General features: G+C 58.1%; 1 protein-coding gene across 9 annotated transcripts in view, besides 9 other annotated features; it reads right to left on the reverse strand.

Moving 5' to 3' along the window:
• Nucleotides 1-24343, reverse strand: part of VAV2 (vav guanine nucleotide exchange factor 2) — a 230431-nt gene that overhangs the window by 111581 nt on the left and 94507 nt on the right. The window lies entirely within an intron of this gene.
• Nucleotides 474-1673: an enhancer, noted in NCBI's record as "CDK7 strongly-dependent group 2 enhancer chr9:136739070-136740269 (GRCh37/hg19 assembly coordinates)". NCBI's record gives its function as "activates an origin of replication core promoter dependent on BRD2, BRD4, P300/CBP, MED14 and CDK7 cofactors, with strong dependence on CDK7, by STARR-seq in HCT116 cells {active_cell/tissue: HCT116}" and the evidence as "EXISTENCE:reporter gene assay evidence [ECO:0000049][PMID:35650434]".
• Nucleotides 2459-3194: an enhancer, noted in NCBI's record as "H3K27ac-H3K4me1 hESC enhancer chr9:136741055-136741790 (GRCh37/hg19 assembly coordinates)". NCBI's record gives its function as "activates a minimal SCP1, AML or CMV promoter by ChIP-STARR-seq in naive H9 embryonic stem cells {active_cell/tissue: H9 hESC(naive)}" and the evidence as "EXISTENCE:reporter gene assay evidence [ECO:0000049][PMID:30033119]".
• Nucleotides 3195-3928: an enhancer, noted in NCBI's record as "H3K27ac-H3K4me1 hESC enhancer chr9:136741791-136742524 (GRCh37/hg19 assembly coordinates)". NCBI's record gives its function as "activates a minimal SCP1, AML or CMV promoter by ChIP-STARR-seq in naive H9 embryonic stem cells {active_cell/tissue: H9 hESC(naive)}" and the evidence as "EXISTENCE:reporter gene assay evidence [ECO:0000049][PMID:30033119]".
• Nucleotides 9069-9802: an enhancer, noted in NCBI's record as "H3K27ac-H3K4me1 hESC enhancer chr9:136747665-136748398 (GRCh37/hg19 assembly coordinates)". NCBI's record gives its function as "activates a minimal SCP1, AML or CMV promoter by ChIP-STARR-seq in naive H9 embryonic stem cells {active_cell/tissue: H9 hESC(naive)}" and the evidence as "EXISTENCE:reporter gene assay evidence [ECO:0000049][PMID:30033119]".
• Nucleotides 10537-11270: an enhancer, noted in NCBI's record as "H3K4me1 hESC enhancer chr9:136749133-136749866 (GRCh37/hg19 assembly coordinates)". NCBI's record gives its function as "activates a minimal SCP1, AML or CMV promoter by ChIP-STARR-seq in primed H9 embryonic stem cells {active_cell/tissue: H9 hESC(primed)}" and the evidence as "EXISTENCE:reporter gene assay evidence [ECO:0000049][PMID:30033119]".
• Nucleotides 14471-15166: an enhancer, noted in NCBI's record as "H3K27ac-H3K4me1 hESC enhancer chr9:136753067-136753762 (GRCh37/hg19 assembly coordinates)". NCBI's record gives its function as "activates a minimal SCP1, AML or CMV promoter by ChIP-STARR-seq in naive H9 embryonic stem cells {active_cell/tissue: H9 hESC(naive)}" and the evidence as "EXISTENCE:reporter gene assay evidence [ECO:0000049][PMID:30033119]".
• Nucleotides 14471-15861: a biological region, named in NCBI's record as "MED14-independent group 3 enhancer GRCh37_chr9:136753100-136754299".
• Nucleotides 14504-15703: an enhancer, noted in NCBI's record as "MED14-independent group 3 enhancer chr9:136753100-136754299 (GRCh37/hg19 assembly coordinates)". NCBI's record gives its function as "activates an origin of replication core promoter dependent on BRD2, BRD4, P300/CBP and CDK7 cofactors, and independent of MED14, by STARR-seq in HCT116 cells {active_cell/tissue: HCT116}" and the evidence as "EXISTENCE:reporter gene assay evidence [ECO:0000049][PMID:35650434]".
• Nucleotides 15167-15861: an enhancer, noted in NCBI's record as "H3K27ac-H3K4me1 hESC enhancer chr9:136753763-136754457 (GRCh37/hg19 assembly coordinates)". NCBI's record gives its function as "activates a minimal SCP1, AML or CMV promoter by ChIP-STARR-seq in naive H9 embryonic stem cells {active_cell/tissue: H9 hESC(naive)}" and the evidence as "EXISTENCE:reporter gene assay evidence [ECO:0000049][PMID:30033119]".

Genomic DNA, 24343 nt, shown 5'->3' on the forward strand with positions numbered 1-24343 from the left:
TGTCTCTGCACAGTGCTCCGGGCAGACGCTGCCTGTGAAAGCAATCAGCACCCAAGACAGGAGCGGCACTGCCCTGGGAAACGCCTGGACCAATAGCCTCAGGTCCCCTGAACACTGACTGCCCACTGTTCCTAATGCCAGCACGGAAGCCCTGTGTCCCAGGGCTGGGCAAGCTGCATGAGGCAGCTGCATCAGGCGGCAGCTGCTCCCCACCAGGAAACTCTACAGGAATCAGTCGGGGGTCAGGGGCTGTTGGGGGGAATTTCCCGTCCTTCATGGAAGCAGCTTAGCAGCCATCTGGTCCAAATTCTCCAATTTTGAGATGGGAAACCTAAAACCCAGCTGGGAAGATGCAAGAGCTTCACAAGCCCACCCAGCAACTTCCAGGCAGGGCCCAGCCTAGAACGAGGGGTTCCTGTTTGGAGCCTGAGGCTCGTCTCTCCCAGACACGGCGTCCTCCAGGACAGCTAACCACCGTCTAGGCCTCCTGCCTGCCAGATCTTTCCCAGGTTTATTTCATTTTATTCCCTCAAAACCCCCCACGAGATGGTTCTGTGGCTCTCCCCTTTCTGAGGAGGAGTCACCGGGGCTGGGGCAGACAGCTGGTGCCTCTGGCAGCAGAGCCCGGCTCTCCACGCCGCCCTGCCCTGGAGGGCCGGCTATCCATCCTGGATTTGAAGCTGAGGGACAAACCACAGCCTCCAGGCATGAAAGCAAGGTTTCTGAGTGGGGGCCTGCAGCCTGCAAGGCCAGTAAACCTGTCCCAGCAAGACTGGCTGGGCAGGCTGGGCCACTCACTGTCTGCGAATGCTGCTCTCTCATTCCCAGAGACACTCCCCAGCCCCTCCTGGGCATCACTCAGCGCTGCTGTGGCTGCAGGAGCCAGGCACAGATGGCGCCTCCCTCCCCTGTCCACCAGGAAAAAGCGGGGATAAAGGTGGGTTCCAGTGTGGGAGGCATCCCAGACCCAGGCTGCAGACGAGCCGCATCAGTCCCTCTTTAATCAGAGGCAAGGCCGGAGACCATGACACAGATCTGCTGCCTAGCGCGTGAGTCACTGCCTCCAAGGTACAAGAATCCCACAGGAAGCTCAAGGTACCCGCCCAGACCTTGAGGCCAAGGTGGGGTTATGGGAACAGCACCTCAAGGGCAGGAGGGAGGGGTTCTGGCCTCCCCCACACCACCCCACTCTCTACACAGATGTCTTGCCCCCTCCAAGAACCTCCTGCGCTGCTTCTTCCTTGGACCCTTCCCTCTTCCCAGAGGTGGAGACAGTGAACCAAGGGGCTGGAACACAGGCGTCTACACAGGCAGATTCCCATGTGGGACCCTAGGATCCATCTCCCTCCCCAGCCCACAACTGCAGACTGTCCAGGCAGGAAGTGGGGCGTGGAGGCCTCATGGAGCCAGGCGCTGTGCATGGTCCGAGCTGCAAGAGGCCTTGGGGGAAACATGCGTCCAGAACCCTCACCTTACACACAGAGAAGACGGGTCTAGAAATGGGTGCGTCTCATCCAAGGCCCCATAGCCAGTCGGGGCAGAGCAGCCCCAGAAAGAACAAGGGTGGGAATGAGGACGGTCACCATAAAAACAGAATCACAGGCTCTCCCGCTGCAGACCCCAGACTGAGCGCTTCACGGGATCACCTGCGTTTCTTTCACTGCCCCCAAGCTCTGAACTCTCACCACGCTCAGGTCACGTGTGTGCAAGCCGGGGCTCAGGAGGTCACTCAGGGTGGGCTGGGAACCCGGGTTCACAGGGCCAGAGCCGAGTGCCGAACCCTCCGTGCCAAGGCCAGACCCAGTCCCCAGCCACTGCCTGGCCTGGCTTCACAGAGCCAACTGCCCCCACCACACAGCCCAGCGCCACAGCCCCGGGGAGCTATCCACAGCTGATGGGAACAGGCCACCCTTCTGCCGGCTAAGGAGCTCATCAGGCAGAGGGCAGGCCCTGAGCAGGCAGAGGGGGCCCCACAGACAAAAGGCAGGCTCTGGGCAACCCAGAATTGTAGTCAGAGAGTCTGAGCAGCTCGAAGTGAGGGCTGCCTGGAGGAGGCGCAGGCCTATGATAAAGTAGCAAAGAAACAGGCGATCCCCTTGGAGGCACAGACTGCCCGGCACTGCAGCGCACGGCAGGACTGACCCTGCCAGTCCCTTCAAAAGCTCAGCTACCAACTGCCCTGCGCCAGGACCTGCTGAGAAACACCGCAGGAACACACGCGAGGCCCCCGCTCCAGTCCCCTCTAGCACAAGAGGCTATAGAATGAATTGACGTTTGTGATGGCTAATGTGGCTAATGCTACGGCACCATCCTGCCTGGGCTAAGGGGTACCCAGAGGGCAGGTAGGACATTACCTCCGGAGTGGCTGGGCAGCATTTCCAGAGGAGACCAGCATCTGAGTCGGCAGCCGAGTATAGCAGACGCCTCCCGTGCCCTCGGGCCTCACCCAACTGCGGGGGCCCAAACAGGTCATGATGGCAGACGAAGGCCTTATTCACTCACTGCCCAGCGGGCACAGCCATCATCTCCTGCCCTCGGACATCGACGCTCGTCGTTCTCAGGCCTTTGGGCTCAGACTGGGACTCACGCCATCAGGCCCCTTGGGTCTTGGGCCTTCGGATCAGGACTGGAGCTGCACTACCAGCCTTCCTGACCTCCAGCTTCACAGCAGCTGGTTTCAGGACTTCTCAGCCCCCAGGATCGTGTGAGCCAGTCCCTGGTATTAAATCTTCCTATCTATCCATATGCTATCAGCGCTGCTGTTCTGGAGAACCCTGACTAATACAATATTGGAAAGGAGCATGCATCTCCCCTGGGATGGCCCCATTCAGGCACGCCCTGCTCCCACGCCCAGCACCACTGACCGCTGCCAGCAGAGGCGCTGTGGAGACAAGAGTGGTAGGGGGCAAGGGACGGGGTGGGTGTGGAGCAAAGACTATTCCCCTAAGGAAGGCAGGCCCCCTGGGACTGAGGGAGAGCAGCCAGTCAGCCAAGGCCAGGAGAACGTGCAGGGGCAGAGCCCACGCACAGGCCCGGAGAGCGGCCATGGCCACACAGGGGACCAAAGAGCGGAGGCCTGTCGGACACAGGGCCAAGGAGCTGGCCTCGCCTGGGGCAGTGGGAGTGCAGGGTCAGGCTGGTGTTTGAGAGATGCTTCAGGCTGCAAAGAGGATACTGGGTGGAGGGAAGGCAGGACCGCGGGAGGGGGGCGGCCCCAAGGAGTCTTCTAACCAGGCCAGGTGCACGATGGCAGGAAGGCCTGGGCAGGAGGCCACAGGGATGGACACAGCCAGAGAGGACACAGCCAGAACTGTTTAAAAGGCTGATCAAGGCTGCCTGGGTGCAGGGGTGAGGCAGGGAAGAGAGAAACCATCTCTGTCCTTTCTGCCAGGAGACACAGAAAGGGCTGGCCTGAAGAACGGGGACAATGGGGGAGGCTGGCCACCGGGGTCTGGACGCACAGTGGCCAGCTACAGAGGGGAAGGCAGGGGATGCCAGGGCTGGCGTCTGGGCAAGGCTGAGCTTAAACCCTTGGTGTGGCCTTCAGCAAGTCGCTGCCTGCCCCGAGTCTCCCTCCCCACCCACCTGGGGAAAGGGGAGGCTGAGAGGCACGTGGTTATCTGAGCCACCACCACCCCATTTCTGTTTCCCACAGAACCCCCGCCCGGCCTGCTAGACCCCCTTCTGCCACCTTCCTCTGGCCTCGGGATGCCCTGGCTGTACGAGGAGAGGCTCCCTCCGCCCTCAAACAGTTGCCAGCGCCTTTCTTCCCCAGCAGGTAACTGGCACACTCCACACTCTGCACAACGATGCCAAGATGCAGCCCACAAAGCTGGGACCCACACCCCAGACACACAGCAATCCACTGGCCAGGCGGACAAGCCCAAAATCAGCCACTGCCCACAAGCAGGGTGGGACCATCACACTGCCAGGAACCTTCTTGGAAGAGCCAGTGCTTGTGTTCTGGGTGACACGTTCGGCTCTGGGCTCAAAAGTTACCCCACTGCCTCCATGAATCCTCAACCACCCAATGAGGTCAATGTTACTATGCCCCTTGTCAAATGATGAAACTGAGGGTCAGAGTGGTCACCTGCACACATCAGCTAGATGGTCTGATGCAAGCTCTTAAAGGGAAAGCACCCAGAAGGAAAGGCCTCAGCCTCCCGACTGAGCCTCACCCCAGAACCCCCCTCTCATGGCCTGGTCATCCACTGCACGTTCCCAGTCTGCTAATGGGGACAGGTGACAGTAGCCATCACCTGGAGGGGCTGATGGGTTTCCAGTGGCTTCACTGGCCTCCCTAATTAATGGCCATTTTAATGGGAAGGGGACTAATAACTGTATCTCTAACACTACGGCAATAACTTTCCAGTGTCTACCCTTATCTCTGAAGCGATGACTTAGTAACTCGGTTATTAAGTGCAAGCGTTAACACAGGACAGGAAGGTGCGTGAATCTCCTCTGCGACGTCAACTCCACACCTGCTCCTGCTCTGAACTCCCGCAGGAGTGCCTGGAAGGGCCTGGGAAAGCACTTGGCCCCCCGACACCCCCCACTATTTCTCCCCTAGGCTGTCTGACGGTGAAGGAGGGTGTGGGGCCCACCCAGGCCCTTAGGCTCAGCAGGCGAAGTCTCTTTGCCAGTCTCAGCGTAGGGCTGAGCTCAGCACTCTCCGCCGGCCTGCGTCTCACAGATGCTCCGGGTGTACCACGGGGCAGGCACCTCTGCTGACATGTGGCAGCCAGGGGAGGCTCAGAGGCCAGGGACAGGTTGCTGGCACCTCTGCGGCCGTAGGAGCCACACAAGGAAGGCCTCACACGAACCACACGCACTACAGAGCCAACTGCGACCCAAGCACGATCGAGGCTGTGTGTTTCTGAAAGGATCTGACCGAACTGAGCACTAAGATTGTTCAGAATCTGGCCAACGCAGCTCCCCATCCATCCCCAGCCAGGTGGCCCATGGTGAGTGAGGCAGAGTCTTGGTTTCCTCAGCTGTGAGATGGGGGCAGCGGCACCCGCAAGAGTAAGGGAGACAACACACTGCCCACGGCTGCCCCGCTGCAGTCACCATCATCGTTGCTGCCCCTCCTGCAGATGCAAGCCCCCACCTCCACCACCGCCAAGTCCTCTGTGCATGTCTGTCACAGGACAGAGCTTAACCTTTGAGAGGCCATCCCTGCTGACCCCACCTGCCGCCCGTCTCAGGAGGAGGATTCCCAGGAAGTCACAACCGCAGGGGGATCCCCCAAGCAGTGGCCACGTCCCCGCCACCCACACCAGGGGGTCCCGATCCAGCCAGTGGGTTTCCAATGGGTGTGCAAAGCTGTGGGCAGTGGGGGCAGGGGCCAGGGACAGCAGCTGAGCACTCGGAGTGGAAGCGCCCTCGGCCCGGGCAGCCTGGCCTCCTTTGCACATATGCCAGGCTCCTCCGCAGGGGCAGAAACCTTTTCCCCAGGGTCGGGTCGCCCCATTCGAGAGATCAACAAATCCAGCCTTTGACTCCATGGAGCAGGAGCATGGTGGGGCAGGGGCAGGGAGGTGTCTCCTCAGGATCCCCCCGTTCCCCAGGCATCATCCGCCCCCATCCCAGGCATCCTGTGACATAGTCTTCCAGAGGGGACCGGGCCGGGCTTGTGCTGCTGAACCTGGCTCTGGACCCCGTCTCAGCTGCAGACTCGCAGCAGTGCCGGAGCTCTCTGCGCCCCAGGCCCTCCTCTGTAACGAGGCCCTCTGGGGGCTCTTGCTTCCTCACTCAGGTGTGCAATACACTTTGAGCAGCTGCTGCGTACCAAGCACTGTGCTAGGGTGACCTCTGGAGCTCCAAGGAACCAGCAGGGTGTGATCAATGCCGCAGGGTAAAGAACAGAGCAGCTGGGAAGCAGGGGAGTCCAGCAGAGTCCCTAATCAAGCAAAGCAAGGGGCAGGAGATGTCCAGGAATCAGAGAAGGCCCTCTGGAGGGGCTGCTGTCACCTTGAGGCCTGCAGGATGGACAAGTGTGTGTCAGAGGCTCACCATAAATGTGGGCAAGCCTCCTATAAGAAGGCATCGATCAGTAGGTGGCCCCGGGGCACTGCCACAGCCTTGAGCACCTGACATTACAGACCCACAGGGCAACCAAGTGCACATCTGAGTCCTCTGCCAAATGCAAATCTAAGCAACAAGCCGCACACACCAGGACGAACAGCACTGCTGGCTCAGATGAACCACCAAGAACCTGCTCTCCCTTCCAAAGCAGAACCTATCCGAGAATCCCTACCGCCTTGCGAGCTGCAAGTCCGATCTGTGCAATGTGAGCCCCTGCAGGAAAAAAGTCTAAAGTGATTTTTCCTCCCCGGTGCTTTGTGTTTATGGAAACAGATGGAAACCGGCCGCAGACGAAGCTCTGGCATCCAGATTTGCTTCCAAGCGGTTTTACCTTGATGACTGCTTAATCCTGGCCCATCAAGGGACTTCCCAAAATGGCCACTTTATGGATTTTTCTTTTCCTGTCTAAGGGTAGGATTCAAAAATGCACTTTTCCCAGAAAAGATTTTCTAAACCATGAGAGTGAGGACACGGATAAGGACAAGGCCATCTGGAAGTAGAGGAGAAAGAAGAGACGCTGCATGGGGAAGACAGGCCAAGGAAGGACCCACCTGGACCCACCTGCGCCGTCTGCAGGAAGAGGGGCTAGGCATCCCTCCACCAGCCCCTTGCCCACTTGGCACTCACGAGCAGCCCTGGACACCAGGGTACAAGGTGTGTCCCCAAGAAGCTCTGTGTGCCCCACCGGAGGAAAGAGCCGGCAGGCAGCACGGGGAGGGAGAGTGGGCAGGAAGCAGCTGAGCTGAGAGGGAGCCTCTGAACCAGGCAGGTGGTGAGGGACCTGTCAGCCAGGCTCAGGGACTCATGAGATGATAAAGGCGGGCAGGGAAGGACAATGGCCTTAGGGGCAGCCATGGGGAACTCCCAGGTCAGAAAAGGCTGGATCTGACCGATGGTTTTATAAAAGATGCCTTTTACACGAAGCACCAGGGACAGCTTCTCCAGTAGGAATCTTGTATATGAAGAAGGGGTGGGTGCGGGGGGCACTGCCAATGCCACCGCCCAGGGGACCAAGAGATGGCCAAGTGAATGTGATGTGCAGTCCCTGATGGGTCTTGGGACAGAGGACATAAAGGGGAAACTGAGGAAGCCAGAGTCACTTCAGTTAGTGACAATGTGTCCACACTGGTTCATTCATTGTAACCAAAGCACCAACTACTGTGAGGTATGGATGGGGGACCCGGGTGTGGAATACAATCTTCTTTTGCACTAGCTTCTCAATTTTGCTAAGTCTAAAACTGCTCTAAAATATCTAGGTAAAGCAGGGGCTGCCCCTTTGGCAGGTCAGGTGGGCAGCAGGTCAGCTTCTGCGGTCGGCCCTCCAGGACACTGGCCGTGGCTCAGGATGGAGGCAGGTGAACTGCAAGGATCCCTGGGCATGAGCCTAGGTGCTGCCTTCGGTGGCTACAGCACAGTCCCCCCACTGTCAGGTGCTCCCGGGGGCAGCAACACCCCCCTCCATACAGGGGCAGGTTCAGCAAGGGGCCAGCAGCCCAGAGCTGGGGGCCATGGCCCACCCACGTCCCAGAGAGGCTGGGCAGGGAGAGAGGCCCTGCTGGCACAGGGCCCGAGGTGGTGGAGCTAGGACTGGCCTTCAGGCTGCTGGGCTTCCCACCATACGACCCGGAGAACTTGTCCCCAGAAAAGCTGCCTTGGAGCCATGGGCTCCAGACACAGAGAGATGCGGCCTTCCCGCAGGCATGATGCTATCTGCAGATAGCGGAGCGCAGACGTGGGACAAGGCCCTCTGGAATGTGTCTGGACTTGCCCCACAAGGTTCCTCCCAGTGAGACGGGGCTTGTGAACAGGACTGAGAAGGAGGAGCGCCCAGCTCTCCTGCATCCCATCAGGGGCCTGGGTGACAGGAGGGGAGGCCCTGCATGAAGGCTGCAAAGGAGTCTCCAAGGCAAGCTCTGACGGATTCCCAGGCAGCTCGAGCCTCCAGCAGAGGCAGCAGGTGGAGACGAGGAACTGACGAGGAACACAGTCCACAGCTGGGAACACAAGGAAGGGGGAAGGTGCAGAGAAAGGCCTGAGATCCATGGTGGGCCTGGCAGCCAGCCACTGGAAACCGCCGAGGTCCCAGACGTCCTTGAGGGTGGCCTACAAGTGGCCGGGAACTTTGAGAGGCCCTCTCATGTGTCTGATACCAAATGTATAATTTAATATTCTATATTTTCAGCCCAGACAGGAATTAATTATTTAATGTCCTATCAAAACCAACTCCATCCTTCATACTACTCCAGGCAGCGTGTGGGGGCGGAAGAGTTCAGTGGCCCCGGCTGGCATCACGGCAACACTGGGGAGGGCGCAGATCAGACACGCAGCAAGTACGTGCTGAGAACCTGCCAGGGCGCCTGGCACAGGATCCCAGCATGACGCCTCCTGCTTGCCAGGTGCCCAGCGAGTGTGCGGGGCTACAAAGGAGGGCGTCAAGGTTTCAACCTAGTCTCCACTGACTCTCCAGAAGGTTCCTCTCCCAAGAGATACAGTGCCGAAAACAAAAGAGGCAAGAGGCAGCCATCCCCAGATAGCTGTGTGGCAGGCCCCAGGCTGTACGGGACACAGTGGACAGACAGGCCCAGCCATGCCCTGCAGAGCTCTCGGAGATTCCAGGGCAGGAAGCAGACTGTCAATAAACAGAAAGCAAGGCAAAGAACATGCTGGGTCCAGACTGAACCCTGCAGTGAAGCAGGTGAAGCACGCAGGCCGCCAAGGGCACAGACCCTGTCCGCTCAGCCTTCACAGCCCCAAAGGGGCGGCCCTGCTGTGCCTGGCCCGAACATGCTGCCGTCACAGCCAGCCGACATCTGTACGGGGCTGGAGAGCATCCCCTACGGTTCATGTCCTTCCTGGAACCTCAGAATGCCACCTTCTTTGGAAATAGGATCACAGCGGATGTCATGAGTGACGATGAGGTCACCCTGGAGTAAGGTGGGCCCTTAATCCACTGTGACCAGGGCCCTCAAAAGAAGAGAAAAGACATAGGGAGAAAGGGGAGGCCATGTGAAGTCAGATCCCCACCCCCGCGACCTCTGGAAGGAGCGTGGCCCTGCCGACAACACCTTGAGTTTGGAATTCTGGCCTCCAGGAGAGGGCAGAATAAATCCCCCTTGTTTTGCGGCACCAGGTCCGTGATACTTGGCTATGGCAGAGAGTGGACGCCAGAAAAAGGATAAATGTCACAAACACAGCGCTCAGCCCTTCAGAGCAGACAGACTCAGGGATACAAATGTCATAAGGTGACCCCTGGGGCCCCTGAACCCCTGCAGCAGAGGCAGCCAGCCACTGAGACAGGACCCCCAGGGAGCAGGGGGCGACAGCTGAGAGGCCCAGGAGGACAAGAGGGACTCTGCCATGCCAAGAAGTCAGGGACGGTGTGCTGTGACTGCAGGGACAGGGGTTCCACCTTCCCCAGAGGCCTCTGGCACCCTGGGTTCGGGATGTGGGCCCCACACCCACCCCATGCCAGGCTTGGCCCCCTAATGGCCCTCTTTCCCAGGGAACAACCTCCCCAGGCTCCATCCCTATGTCCCCACCCCCTGCTGCTCTCTCTGGATCCTTCCCTCCTAATTGGCATGGAAAGTCAAGTCCCTGAGCCTGCAAAAGACTCGGCTGTCCCCACACACCACTCCTGGAGCAGATGGGCCCTTCATCATTTGCTCATTTCACGTTCCCCTAATCATGCGAAGAGCCCTGGTAATTGACAACGATTCTCTGCACAAATGGCGGACCCACAGAGGAGCGAAGGCGCAGAGACCCATCCGTTGAGACAGCCTCCCTGCCGGGGTGTGCCAAGTGAGTGTGGGGCTGACGGGTGTGAGCCACAGTGGGCAGTCAGGGCCAGGGAGAGGAACAGAGCCGAGTCAGCTGCTGACCTGCTGCAGCAGCTCAGCCACTTAAAAATTCGTCGGAACATGTTGAAACAATGAGGGGATAGAACAACCACTCACCCTGCAGACTCCCAAGTCATCCCCAGCCACGGCAGGCAGACAGCCCAGCAGAGACTCCCAAGTCATCCCCAGCCACGGCAGGCAGGCGGCCCAGCAGCAGGCAGGTTTCAGCTCGGCCGGAGCAGGCCCTCAGGCACTGGACCTGGGGAGGCTTCCGGTCACCTGTGCAATGCCACCAGCAGCTTCTTGCATGCTTCCCATGACAGGGAGCTCACTACCCAAGGTGGCGGACGAGAAGCCCTCCCGGGATCCAGTGCCACTGTGAGGCTCAAGTACACCCCAAAACTCACACTTGAGGTCCACAGGTGACTAGCAACTTTGCTTAAATTGATTCTAGTAGGCCCGGTGTGGTGGCTTATACCTGTAATCCCAGCACTTTGGGAGGCTGAGGCAGGCAGATCACAAGGTCAGGAGATCAAGACCATCTTGATCAATATGGTGAAACCCCGTCTCTACTAAAATACAAAAAAATTAGCTGGGCACGGTGGCGCACACCTGTAGTCCCAGCTACTTGGGAGGCTGAGGCAGGGGAATCACTTGAACCCGGGAGGCGGAGGTTGCAGCGAGGCGGAGGTTGCAGTGAGCTGAGATTGCGCCACTGCATTCCAGCCTGGCAACAGCCAGACTCAGTCTCAACCAAAAAAAAAAAATGATTCTAGCAACTCATGAGCAAAGAGAGGGAATCCAAAATAAATGGTAACCAACCCCCACGTGCACACGTGCAATGAAGCCACCTAGATGAGCAGCACGGGAGCACACTGAATGAACATGTGATCATTACCCACCACCACCACGCGTCCTGCCTCCCAGCTGGACCCCAGGCTCCTCCAAAGTACAACTCAAAGGACGCTCATCAAAGCAGTGCTTCCTTAGGCGCTTGGGTGCTCACTGCAGTGGGCTGGCTGCCCTTCTCAACGCCCGCCACACTTTGTCAATTAATTAGGGAGGGGGGTGCCAGCCTGGGGGGCGTGGTGGGGACTCCGCAAGCACTCAACAGATGCTGGCCCACCCAGGCCAGCCTCTCCACCCAGGCCAGCCTCTCCACCCAGGCTGGTTCCCAGGCTGTTACTTTATGGAACATCAGCAAGCTGACCGCTTGGCACAGCTGCCTTTTTCTATATGCATAAGATGCTTCAATAAGAAGCTTGCTAAAAAGAAAAACAAAAAAAAACACCTCTGGCTTTAAAAATGTTTTAACTCCAAAGATTTTTAATTAGCTTTATTCACTCAAAACACACGGATAAGCTTGACGGCTCCGTGAGAATGCTGGTAGGGAGCAGAACCAAACACCCAGGGAAGGAAGCACCACTGGGCAGGCAGCTCTATCAGAGACCACAGGTGCACACAAGCATCCCCTCCCACTCAGCCAGAGGGGCGCAGCGCTGTCCACAACTCACACCCTCAGCCCCACTTCCAGCCTGATGAACCCACCTGAGCCAGCCACAGTGACAGGTGGAGCCTAGATCATTCCAAAGACTCCAAAGATAATGCCAAAGGCTCCACTTCCAGGCCGATGACACCATCTGAGCCAGCCACAGTGACAGGCAGAGCCTAGATAAGTTGGGCCCTTCTGGAGGGTTCTCTCCAGAGGACTGGCAAGCACAGCCAATATTCATCAAAATGCATGAATCTTCTCTGAACCAGTGACTTCATTTGCTCCAGTGTCCTGCGATTGATTCTTCTGAACTTCTGAGCCCACTCAACCAAGGGCGGCCCAGGGAAGGGCATGTATGCAGCCCCCGCGGCTGTCTACTTGGTCCATGTCCAGCCGCAGTGGAAGCGCCTGCCCTGCCCAGCTGCACTGTCTGCCTCTGCTTCTTCCCCACAAGTTCAAGGTCGGTGTACTCAGGCATCCCTGTCACATCGATGAGCAAACATGGCCCAGCGATTTGTGTTTCTCAGAGCCCTCTCATTCCAAAACAAGTCTTGATCCAAGGGCACAGCGGTGGCCGGTACTTCCTGAGGGCCTGCCACTGTGGACTCTGCAAGTGTCGTATTTACTAATAATGGTGCACCGCCAGGAGCGTGCAATGCCATTCAGATTTTACACAAGCAAGGTGCTCAGGCCGCAGGGGAGACGTGACCCCAGGGCGGACCCCTCCCAAGCTTGGTGTGGTGTTCTGCTGGGCCCCCACCTCCAATTTCCATCTAACAGCTCTGAAATGACTGGACTCTGCATCTGGCCTCACCAGGTGATGCTCAGCTGCCCCAAGATGGAGGTGGGCACACGCTCCATGCCATCTCCCTGACCTCGCAAACCCACCACGGTGCCGGCACAAACCCTTCACAAAGCACTCACCCACTTACCCTTGGGCTGGAAGGAACCACAGGCGCCACTGGGACGGCCCATTGGTGACAACCAAACTCAGGTGTTCCTGAGTGTTCCTGAGAACCAGAGTTCTCAGCTACCTACAAACTCACCATTAAGGGGACTATGCTAGACAACCAACTTTAAACTTGTTACAAATCCCAGAGAGAGAAGCGTGTGCAGGAGACTGGTCTGGTCCCATCTCCGTACTGACAGCTGGGGGGCGGGAAGGCCCAGCCGGGCCCAGAGCCACCCTGGGAGGCTGAGATGCAGCTCAGAAACCAGGGGTGAAGGGGCTGGAGCAGGCGGGGAGGGAAAGACAGGAAGGAGCACCCATGTGGGACCCAGGGTCCCAGACAACCCCAAAGCTTCCTGCAGGTGGGAAAGCTCCGCCACATGCAAGAAACTCCGCAAGAATAGCACATGAGGGGCTGGGCCTCGTCTGATGCTTGCCTCGGCCCAGAGGCATCTGAGCAGTGGCCACAAAGCCTCCATCCTGGAGGAGGAGTCTCAGAGCCTACCGCGTGCCTAACCCTGCCACAGGGAGGTCCTTTATAATTCAGAGGCTAAGTAACCTGCTGAAGGTCACCCAGCTTGAAGGACTCAAACCCATGTCCATCTGACGCCACAGTCTGAGCTCTGGCCAGGGTCCAGCTCTAACCTCGTCCCAGACAAGAGGAAGCCCCAGACTTGACAGCACCACACACCTGAGCCTGGGCCCCGTGTCGGAGTCAGTGAGGCCCACGTGTTTGCGCCTGTGTCTGGGGGGTGCAAATCCCCAATCTCCTACTGGAGACAAGAAAACAAGATGGGCCCAGAGACAGCACAGAGCCCACTCAGCCCTGCTCCGCGGGGCACCTGCACACATTACACACCCCGCCAAGACCTTCCTCTTCCGCTGGCAACACCCACGTCCAGAACAACCCCAGTGGCTGCACACAGGGTCAGAGCTCTGTTACCAGGAGAGCAGGTGAATTCTGCAAGCACAAAAGCCTGTGTTCATAATCCATACTCCAGGGGTCTGCTGGGCTTACAGGTCCCCTGGCTTGGGGCAGGTGGACAGGAAAAGGTGTGTTCCACTCTTCCAAGATGCACAGGAGGCCCAGGGGCAGAGGCGGCCCTTCAGGCAGGACTTTCCCAGTCCCATGGGGGAGGGAAGCCAGACAAGGCAGGTGCCAAGCCCCCCCTCCCCACCCCGGGCCCTCCTGCTCTCCCTCAGCAGTGGTGGTTCCCAGAGGGGTTCCCTGGGGCTCAGCCCAACTCAGAGGAGGGCCCAGACAGCAGGCCCCACGCAGAAATCGCACCTCCTTTGGGGCAGGGTGAGGTAGGGGCCATCTGCTGGGCCCATTCAGCAGGAAGGGACCTCTTCACCTCCACAGCCCTCAGGGACTCCCCATGGAAACTAATTGCCTCAAAGCATAAAACCACCCCAGGATGGGGGTGGGGGAAGGGGCAGTGAGGGCCCCAGACCCCCTTGGATGGGAAACAAAGCTGAACGCAGCTGCTCCAAGCCCACCCACCTGCTACTCCAGGGAGCGCATGCCCCAGCAGAAGCTGGATTTTCAGAGGTGTGGACATCTGGCCCCAGGGAATTCACAGGGCCTAAGATCCTGCCCTAACTCTAAAAACAGCAATGGCAGCCCCAGGGCCATGGTCGGATCCCACCCTACCCCACCCCACAAAATGTAACTTCTTAACCATTTTCAAATGCACAAGTCAGCAGCACTGAACTCACTCACACTGTGCAGCCATCACCACCGTCACACACACATTCCCCACGCGCCTCCCTGGGGACACCACGGACTCCACTTACCCCCAGCAGAGACCCTCCCCAACCCCAGCACCCCAGGGACATCAGAGGCTGAGGGATGAGATCACAGCAGCCAGGACACAGACCAGAGGGATGACGGCCAGCCTGACACGGCGATCAGCGAGGCCAGGAACCGCCCCTGCCCCTGCCTCTGCCTCCCATCCCCCGCCCCCCACCCAGGGGCTGCTTTTGCATCTTCAGGGGAGGGAAGGTAAGGCTCCTGCGTGGCCAGCCTCCTCACCACCAGCCCTGAAGGAAAGACGAGGCGCATTCACAGCGACCCTCTTCCACGTAGAGCAACGCAGCGTCCACAGAAGGCAGCCACTCCTCTATGCTCCCCACCAGGAACCCCCAGTTCCCAAGCCCGAGCTTAGGCTGAAGGGTAGACCCTGCCCAGGAGCACCCCTTGGATGAGCCTTGAGGGCCTTGTGCTAAGGGAAATAAGCCAGTCACAAAGGACAAATACCACGGGACTCCCTACAGGAGGTCCCCGCAGGACTCTCTTACATGAGGCCCCTGGAGCCGGCAGACTCACGCAGACAGCAAGCAGAAGTGGGGAGCCAGGGGCCAGGGGAGGCTGGGGTGAGCGCTGAATGGGGGCAGAGTGTCCGCCTGGGCGGATGAAGCAGTTCGGGAGACGGACGGTGGTGACGGCTGCACAGCAACGTGAGTGTGTTCAGAGCCACCGACCTGTGCCCTGGAAAATGGTTAAGAAGCTAAATGCTATGTTCTGTGTATTTTACCACAGTCAATAAAACAAAACAAAGCAGCAGCTGCATGTGGGGGCCACGCACACCTGGATCTTCCAGGCCTCCAGCTCTTTTGAACCCAAGGCCAAACACGGACAGGCAGGCCCAGACATGTCTGTCCCTACACCACCGGCCCTGGGTCATGGGGCAGTTTCCATAGAAACCGCTGTGTCCAGGAGCCACGTCACTCTCACAGATGGACAGACAGACGGATGCAGCTCTGGGAAGGGCTTTTCCAGCTTCCACATCTCCAAGTCTCAGCCTCATCGTGGACACGATAAGACCAACGTCCCCCAAACAGGGTCAGAGCTAGACAAACACCAGACTCCACCCCAATTAGTATCATGAGCCTGAGCCGACTGATCTGTTCCAAAGGGCGTCATCCCAGCGGCTGGCTGCAAGATACTTAACATTTAATTTCTAGGTCCAGGGAGGCTGCCATTAGCAAGATTAATTGTGTGCACACACAATTTAATTTCCCCCACCTCAGAAACAAAAGTGACACTTACCCCAATTACAGGACGCTGGGCCCTGGCGGACAGCCCGTCATTCGCATTCGCAAGGAGACGACACGAACAGCATGGAAATGAAGCGCCCCTGCCAGGGGGGCAGGGACACCGCGTCCCCGTCCCTGGGGAAGCCTCACTTCTGAGGAGCTCTTTGCTGAGATCAAGATGGCCTGAGGCAGGTCCGGCAGGGATCTGGAGCTGAGCTGAAAGGGGTCTCAGTGCTGCCTGCTCTTCCGCCCTCGGGGTGGGAAACCGAGGCCCAGCAAACCACAGGCTTGGGGTCGGATACCAGATGACCCCAGACAAGCTGACCCCCAGGTCTTGGCCTGGGTTCCTCGTCCAGGAAACTAGAGTCATCACAGTGCTCCTCTTACAGCGGGTGCCGAAGGGTGGGGGCTCACGGGCACGAGCCTAGAACATGCCCACGCCTGTGTGGGAGACAGCATGCCCACTCTGGGTGCTAGCTGCTGGCTTTCTAGACTGGCCTGACCCCTCCTAAGAGCCTAGGAGTCAAAGGGGTGGGGGAAGGCGGCCACTGGCACAGTGATCTGCGGTCCTCGGTTCCCTTCTCTCCCCAAGGCCACCCTGAGACCCCTGGAAAGACTAAGGGATGCTTGGGAGGGAAAGGCACTGGGTCCAGGGCCTGGGGGAGCACATAGCTTGCCTTGGGGCAGGTGTGGGCAGCCCACAGCTCCGCAGCAAGGACCACCCCAGTCCCACACTGCAACTGCACAAATACATTAAGCCAGCCGGCCCGTCAGCACCTGCTTCCTCAGCGACCGAGTGCGTCATGAAATCCCAGGAAACTCCCCAGGGCACCCAACGAGGCTCGGCTGTTTGTTCAGAAGACATTTCATTTACACACACACACAAAAAATTTTTTTCTTCTCTGTCCCCCGTTAAACCTAATCAGGCTTCCCCGATGTGATGGTGTTTTACTCATGTCTCAACTGTTAATGTCGATACAAGGCTGAAGACCCCACAGCTTCCATGAAAAAAGAACTCCAGGCTGGAATATTAGTGTTTCCCATGAATAATACATGACCCCGCAGGGCCACTCCTGGGATGACTCCACGAATTACTGTCTCTGCAGTGGAAGGACCTGTCATCCTGGCTGGGAAAATTAGCTAGTAACTAACAGGATATGGGCACACTCCGGGAGGCTATGGTGCCAGGGTGTGGGATGGTGACTCGCAGGGGCTGAGGCAGGTCCCCAGGCAGGAGTGGCAGCCAGGGCATGGGCAGCACGGATCGTGCCAGCCTGGCACATCCACAGGGCACAGAGCCCTCCACACAGCCGAGACTCCAGGGGGTGGAACCAGGGAGCCCAGGCCGGGAGTCTGGGCAGTGGTTTCTTCCGAGGAGCCAGAACTCGGCTCCACCGCGACCACACGGAGCCTTGCTGCCTGTCACAGAGGGACTGACGGCGCGTCTCACGCAGGCCGTGGGGCAACCAGGAGGAATCGTGGCTGTGAGTCCAGGAGTGAGCACGGACTGCAGCTTCCCAGCCCCGGACTACATTTCTTCCTTCCAAGAGGTGCAGGAAGAAACCACTTGGGAGAGCAGAAATGGGAAAAGTGCCGAGGGTCAAGGGGCCACGGCTCTCCCTAGCTGGAGCAAAGACGACCGCCCCCCACCACCCCCTAGAGTCCCTCTCCCCTTTGTCCATGAGAGGCAGATGCTTGATGGCTCAGGACTGCCTGCTAAAGACAGCACTCCCCACCCTCCCTTGCAGAAAGGAATGGCCCCAGAACCACGCTCTGGACACTGTGTAAGAAAGGAAGGGGAGGTGAGGAAGGGTCATGCACTTAAAAGGAAACAGCTGCCTCCCCTGCTTCTTTCCTGCTGCATGGAACACGGACGAGATGGCAGGAGCTCAGCAGCTACCTTGAAGCACTTAGGTGGAAGCCGCACGCTGGTGACGGCAGAGTGAGATATTCAGCACGCCTGAGCTGCTTGTGGGGACTATGGCACTGCCTGGGATGTGGGCACTACGGAGGGGCATCTCTCTTGCTACCTCACTGCCAGCCACCCATCCCTGCAAACTGGCAAGGACCTGCCACCTTTCACACCTGATAAACAAAAATACTTTAAGGTCTTCTAATATCTATTTGGGCATTTTCTGGTCTGAAGTGGGGAAGTTAAATGAAATAAGGTAGAGGAGTGAAAAATGTAAAAAAGGCAAAGAAGATTTTCTCTCCAAGGCTCTTGCAAGGGAGCACCAGAGCCCTGCTCAAGGTGCTCAGCAAGCAGAGGCCCGGGGGACAAGGGTGCAGGGGGCTGCCAGGGCCCGGCACTCACGCCACCCTCAGGAACACAGTCTCCAGCTCCAGCTTCTTCTCCCTCCCTCCCTCCCACTCTCAGCAGGAGGGATGGGGGGGAGGGTGGTGGGGAGGGATGGAGGGAAGGGATGGGGGATGGAGGGGGAGACAGAGGGGAGGAATAGAAGGGAAGGGATGAAGGGGGAGGGATAAAGGGGAGGGATGGAGGGGGAGGGAAGGGAGATGGAGGGGAGATGGAGGGGGGATGGAGGGGGGACGGAAGGGGAGGGATGAAGAGGAGGGATGAAGAGGAGGGATGGAGGGGGAGGGATGAAGGGGGACAGATAGAGGAGAAGGATGGAGGGGAGGCATGGAGGGGGAAGGATGGAGAGGGATGGAAGGCGAGGTATGGAGGGAAGGGATGGAGGGGAAGGAGGGAAGGGAGGGAGGGGAAAGAAGGAGAGGGATGGAGGGGAGGGAGGGCGGGGGATGGGGGAGGGATGGAGGGGGAAGCGGGAGGGATGAAGAGGAGGAATGGAAGGGGAGGGATGAAGGGGGAGGGATGGAGGGGAGGGATGGAGAGGAGGCATGGAGGAGAGGCAGGGAGGGGGAGCGATGGAGAGGGATGGAAGGAGAGGTATGGAGGGGAGGGAGGGAGAGGGATGGAGGGGGATGGAGGGAGAGGGATGGAAGGGGATGGAGAGGAGGGATGGAGGGGAGGCATGGGGATGGAGTTGGGAGAGGTGGGGATAGAGGGCGTGGAGTGAGAATGGAGGAGAGGGGTAAAAGTAGTGGATGAGTGGACCAAGGCATTCGGGGGAGAGGTGGAGAGAGAGGGAGAGAGGAAAAGGGGATGGAGGAGAGGGACAAAGGACGGGGTGCCAGGGGTGTGGGGAGACGAAAGGGATGAAAGAGGTGGGGTGTGGGGAGGAGGGGGAAGGAGAGGGATGGGGGCATTGGGTACGGGGTGGAAGGGACCCAAGGGCGGGGTGGGGGATGATGGAACAGAGGCCAGTGGTGCAGGGGAGGGGTAGAGGGGGATAAAGGGGAGATGAGGGGAGGGGTGGGGATCAGCAAGGGGCCTGCTCAGGTGCCAGTGGGAACAGGTGTCCCGGGTTGGCTGCATGGGGCTGTGCTGCTAGGAAGTGAGGCCTCCTGGTGCTTCCGCAGGGCTGCAGGGCTTTGTGAGCCAGGAGTGTCCTTTGAACACAAACAAGCCTCTGTTTATTTTGGAAATGTGGGGGCTGAGGAGGTGGGGAGTGAAAGCTGACACTCATTAGAGCACCCTTACCAGTGCACACACCTCTGTCTATAAGCACACTGGGGAGGAGACAGAATTAAGTCACTTGGCCAAGATCATCCCAGGGGTCAGCAAAAATCAATCTGCATCAATCCCTGGGCCCCATGCAGGGCTCGGCCAAAGGGCAGCCGAGCACCTAACCCGCCTGGCCGTCCCTCCTGGGTCTCCGTGCCTGAATCGGGCGTCAGAGTCCAGCAGAGACAACTGTCCTTCGGCTCCAACAGGGACACAGGGGCACAAGGAGCTCAGGAGGGCAGGGCAGGCTGAGCTGCAGGGCTAGAGGGAGGAGAGGACTCACAGGCCAGAGATGCAAGAGGAGGGGCGAATCCGGGCCAGGCTTCAGCTCAGAGGCCATTGCAGACGAGAAAAGCGGACCTGGCCCAGCCTTGGCAATAAAAAGCATTCCAGGTTCTTGTAAGGGGGAAAGAAAGAGCCAAGCGGTCTCCATCCACGGGGAACTTGCCCGAGCCCACCCCCAGAATTATCATCAGGATGATGTCTCACAAAAAGACTTCAAAGTGAGACCAGGAACACCATCTTCCTGGTCGTGAGGAGCAGGTTTTGCTGGGCGGTGAGGGGCCCTGGCCCTTAGACACGCAGTAAGGCGGACTCAGCTGCCCTTTCTCTCAGAGGACAGCACGGTCCAAGATCTATGGCTCTGAGTCCGATCTGGGCACTTACCAGACAGCCTGAGTCCCACCTCCCGCGAAGACTCCTCTTGCCACCCTCCCAAATCCACAGGCCTCTAAAGGTGGGAGTCTGACAGCCAGGTGCCTTCAGGCTGTGGAGGGGTCACACAAAGGCCCCACAGCTGCAGGGTGGAGGGTGGAGAGGGCTGAAGAGGAAGGGAAGAAGGAGAAAGGGAGGGAGGAAAGAAGGAAGGAGGCTCGGGTGGCGAAGGCGGCGGCAACAGCAGCTGGGCCTCAGCTGGTCCTCGGTCCCACAGTCGGGCAGCGCCACGGTGGGGCAGCGTGGAGGAGGAGGCCCTAGCGACAACTCTGGGGTCCTCAGGTGGCAAGGGACCTGCCCCGCACGGCCGCCTACCAGGGGCGAGCCCTCCCTCCCCGGCCTTCATAAAAGCAAAATCTAGACAAAGGAGCCAAGATGGCCGACACCCACTCCGGCCAGCTCCAAAGGTCACCTTCAAGAAACGGAGTTTGCAGGAAGTCAACGGTGCCTGCAGAACAGGGGCGAGCACCCAGCCCAGCCAAGGCCAGGAGGAGCCCAAGCCTTCCTCCGTCGCCACACGGCAGCTTTCATTGCCTGAACCTCGGAGGGTGGCGGGACGGTGATTCCACCCACAGCCGCGATGACCGAGGCCCAGCATCGCAGCAAGTGGCAGAGAAGCCAGAGTCCAACTACCGCCCCTGAAACCCACCGCACCTGACCCACACAGCAGCGGCGAGAGTCGGGCGCCCACGTGTACCACACACACAGTTGAATGCTTTACTGGACCTCACGGATCCTCACAGACCTCTGGAAAGTTCTGTCGTAATCTCCACCTTACATCTGCAGAAACTGAGGCTCGGGGAGAAGGAAGACAGTAACGGGCCCAAGGCCACCCCGCCAAGCAGCATGACATCCACCCCACAGCCCATGGCTGAGAATCCATCCCCCACTCCCCGCCTCCACTGCCCGTCAGAATTCAGGGAAGCTGCACGGGTGAGACCCTAGAGGTCACCTCGCTGGATCCGCCACAGTACCCACTGCCACCACCATGTCCGCTCTAAAGTGCACTGTGAGGGATCCAGGGACCGTGGACACACAGGGTTCCACCCTTTCCCAAGGATGGGGGAGCCGGGGCCCGGCCTGGCCAGGGATGGTGCCGGCCATCAGCACCGGCTGCAGCCAGACCCAGACCTGGTGCAACTGACCCAAGAAGGAGACCTAAGCTCCTTCAACAAAGGCTGGTGACAGGAGAGGCGGCTGGGTGCATCCATCCACAAAACCAACAGGAACACTGTGGCCACAGGAGCCACAAGGATCACAGGGCCCAATAAAGGTGGAAACCGCCTTTACGCCCTCTGAGCCCAAAGGAGAGGCCCCCAGAAACCCCAGAGCTCCCCGGGTGACCCTGCACAAGGCGGCTGTTGGGAAATTTTGCCACAGTTGCCCTCTGTCCAGGGAGGCATGAGGGCCCAGCAGGGTTCACAGGCTCCCAGGAGGAGGAGGGGCCAGCCCTTTCCCCACCGTCTCAGGCAGATCCTTAACCCCAAGGGGACCACAAACCCCTCCAGGAATCTAAGGAAGGCTGTGGGCCTCTCCCCAGAACACAGGGCACCCCAAGAGGCTCCAGATCCTGGCGCCCACCCTGGACCCCCAGAGAAAGAAGTCCAGACTTGGGGCCCCTGAGGTGAAACAGCAGCCTGTCCCCCAGCAGGGCCTGCCATGACGCTATGACCCTAGGCAGGGTCCAGAGCTGAGCACTCTGCTAGCCCTCACCGGCCCTAGACCCTGGGGTAAAGGACAGGAGACAGCACAGGCGGAACACAGAGCCCTGGCCATCGGTGTCACCGCTGTTGACGTGGGAGGCAGGAGGAAGGGCAGGGGTTGATGTTCTGAAGATCGCGTGGGGGGCGTCCGGAGATGGTGTGGGAGAGGGCGGCAAGAAAGAGGGAGTCAAGCTCCAAGCCGAGGCACCGAGGGCCGCCCGCAGGAGAATGACACCAGCACAAGGGGCAGGGGAGGGGGACAGGGGCTCAACTCCTACAGCAAAGAGTCAACAGGTGTTGAAAGCAGGGAATCAAGGGCTGGGCTCTATGGAGATCTCTGAGGGCTCCAAAGGTGACCGCAGGAGAATTAAAGACACAGTTATAGGTGCAGCTCCTGGGGGAGGCCTGGCGGGGCTGGGGTCGGGGAGGCAGGAGGCCACCATTCATTTCAAGCCTGTCTGTAACATGACTCTTTCTGCCGTGCGCATCTATAATTACCCTGCAAAAATAAAAAATAAAAATGTAAATGAGCAACTCAAATGTCCGTCAACAGATGAATGGGCAAACAAATTGCGGTGGAGCCACTATGGACTATCACGCCGACGTGAAAAGGAGAGAAGCTCTGATTCTCACCGCAACGTGCCAGCGGGTGCCAGCCAGGCACAGGGACAATCTATTGTGACATTCCATTTATAGGAAGTTTCCAGACCAGGCAAATCCACAGCAATTTGAATTAGTGGCTGCCAGGGGCTGGGGAAATTTGGGGGGGATGAGGAGTTACTGCTAATGGGTTGGGGTTTCTTTTTGGGGGTAATGAAAGCGTTTTAAAATTAGTGGTGGATACATGGCCTTGTGAATACACTGAAAACCCCTGCACTGCACACTTCAAACGGGCGAACCCCATGGTGTGTCAACTGCATCTCAACAATGCTGCTACTTTAAAAAGAGCAAGAACATCAGCTTTCTACACACTGGCAAAAAACTGTCTTGTAAGGCCAGAGTTGTCTGGTTCTCGGCCTTCTTAATTGGCAGCCACACTAAAATCTTTTTTTTTTTTTTTTTTTTTAATTGATCATTCTTGGGTGTTTCTCGCAGAGGGGGATTTGGCAGGGTCATAGGACAATAGTGGAGGGAAGGTCAGCAGATAAACAAGTGAACAAAGGTCTCTGGTTTTCCTAGGCAGAGGACCCTGCGGCCTTCCGCAGTGTTTGTGTCCCTGGGTACTTAAGATTAGGGAGTGGTGATGACTCTTAACGAGCATAACACTAAAATCTTTATTAACGTTAGTAGGTCGGGCGCAGTGGCTTACGCCTATAATCCCAGCACTTTGGGAGCGCGAGGCATGCGGATCACTTGAGGTCAGGAGTTCACGCCAGCCTGGCCAACACAATGAAACCCCGCCTCTACTAAAAGTACAAAAATTAGATGGGCATGGTGGCAGGTGCCTGTAATCCCAGCTACTCAGGAGGCTGAGACAGGAGAATCTCTTGAACCCGGGAGGCAGAGGTTGCAATGAGCCAAGATCGCGCCATTGCACTCCAGCCTGGGCAACAGAGTGAGACTCAGTCTCAAAAAAATAAATAAATAAAATAAAAAAGAATAAAATCTTTATAAACGTTAGAGCAGGTCGAAACGTGGGGACGACAGCCACTCTCGCAGCGTCAGATCTAGGCAACTTTCGTCATTGGCTCCACTATGCGAAACTTTCAAACTGTTGTTCAGGTCACTCTCAGAGGGCAGTTGCTCATTTCATTGGATCCGAGCGCCACTTCATTCACATAAGCAACACTGTAATTCCATTCTGGTTTGATTTCAGAAATTCTACCAGCTGTGTCTAGAATTGTGTTTACGAAGAAAAGTTGATATTAATATAAATGACATTTTCTTTTCTTGTCTTTTGCTTAAGAAACTTCAAAAAAAAATCCAACCAGGCGGGTACAGTGGCTCACGCCTGTAATCCTAGCACTTTGGGAGGCCGAGGCGGGCGGATCACGAGATCAGGAGATCAAGACCATCCTGGCTAACATGGTGAAACCCCGTCTCTACTAAAAATACAAAAAATTAGCCCGGCGTGGTGGCGGGCGCCTGTAGTCCCAGCTACTCGGGAGGCTGAGGCAGGAGAATGGTGTGAACCCGGGAGGCGGAGCTTGCAGTGAGCCGACATCGTGCCACTGCACTCCAGCCTGGGCGACAGAGCGAGACTCCATCTCAAAAAAAAATCCCAACCGAAACAGATGTTGGGCTTGTGAGAACGCAGCACTAGGAAGCGACTCGGGAGCCTATCGGCACATGCTGGTTATTGCTGAAGGACGCGGGAAAATGAGCTGACACTCGGGAAGAAAGCCGCTCCTTTGAGCAGCAGCAAGAGACTAAGTCCCCCTCCTTCCGCCCAAGTGGCAGAGGCGTCCAGGCGGGTGCCAGCCTCAGCCTCTCACTGGGTCAGGAGCCCAGCACAGGGCACACCCAGGTAGGGAGCCTCACATCTGGGCTCACACCCACAGCCCTGCTCTGCCCCCCTGTAACCCACCATCTGGCCCATCCCTCAAGACATCTTCCACCCCTACCTCCCATTCATCACCTGTTACCCAGATGGCTGGGCTGTGTCTCCTTGAACGAAACTGGGTCCCAGGAGGGTGAGCTCCTTCCTGTCTCCCCCAGCCCAGAGCTGAGCCCAGCTTCATCCATGGTGGTCAAGCCAGAGAGCTCTGCTGTCTCCCCACCTCCGCAGCAACACAGGCCCCCCTCTGGGTGGCCAAAAGGTGTGGCTCTAAGCCCTCCATTTCCAGATCGTCCATGATTGCTCTTCTATGCCTCGTTTAGTGAAGGCCAAATATGGAATTTCCAAGTCGCCTAAGGTCAAGATAATGCCAGACCATGACCATGCAGATGCCTGAAATGTCTGTATTTAATTAACGCTGGAGGCAAAAAGGTCAC

Source organism: Homo sapiens, chromosome 9 (genome assembly GCF_000001405.40).
Source record: "Homo sapiens chromosome 9, GRCh38.p14 Primary Assembly".
NCBI lineage: Eukaryota > Metazoa > Chordata > Mammalia > Primates > Hominidae > Homo > Homo sapiens.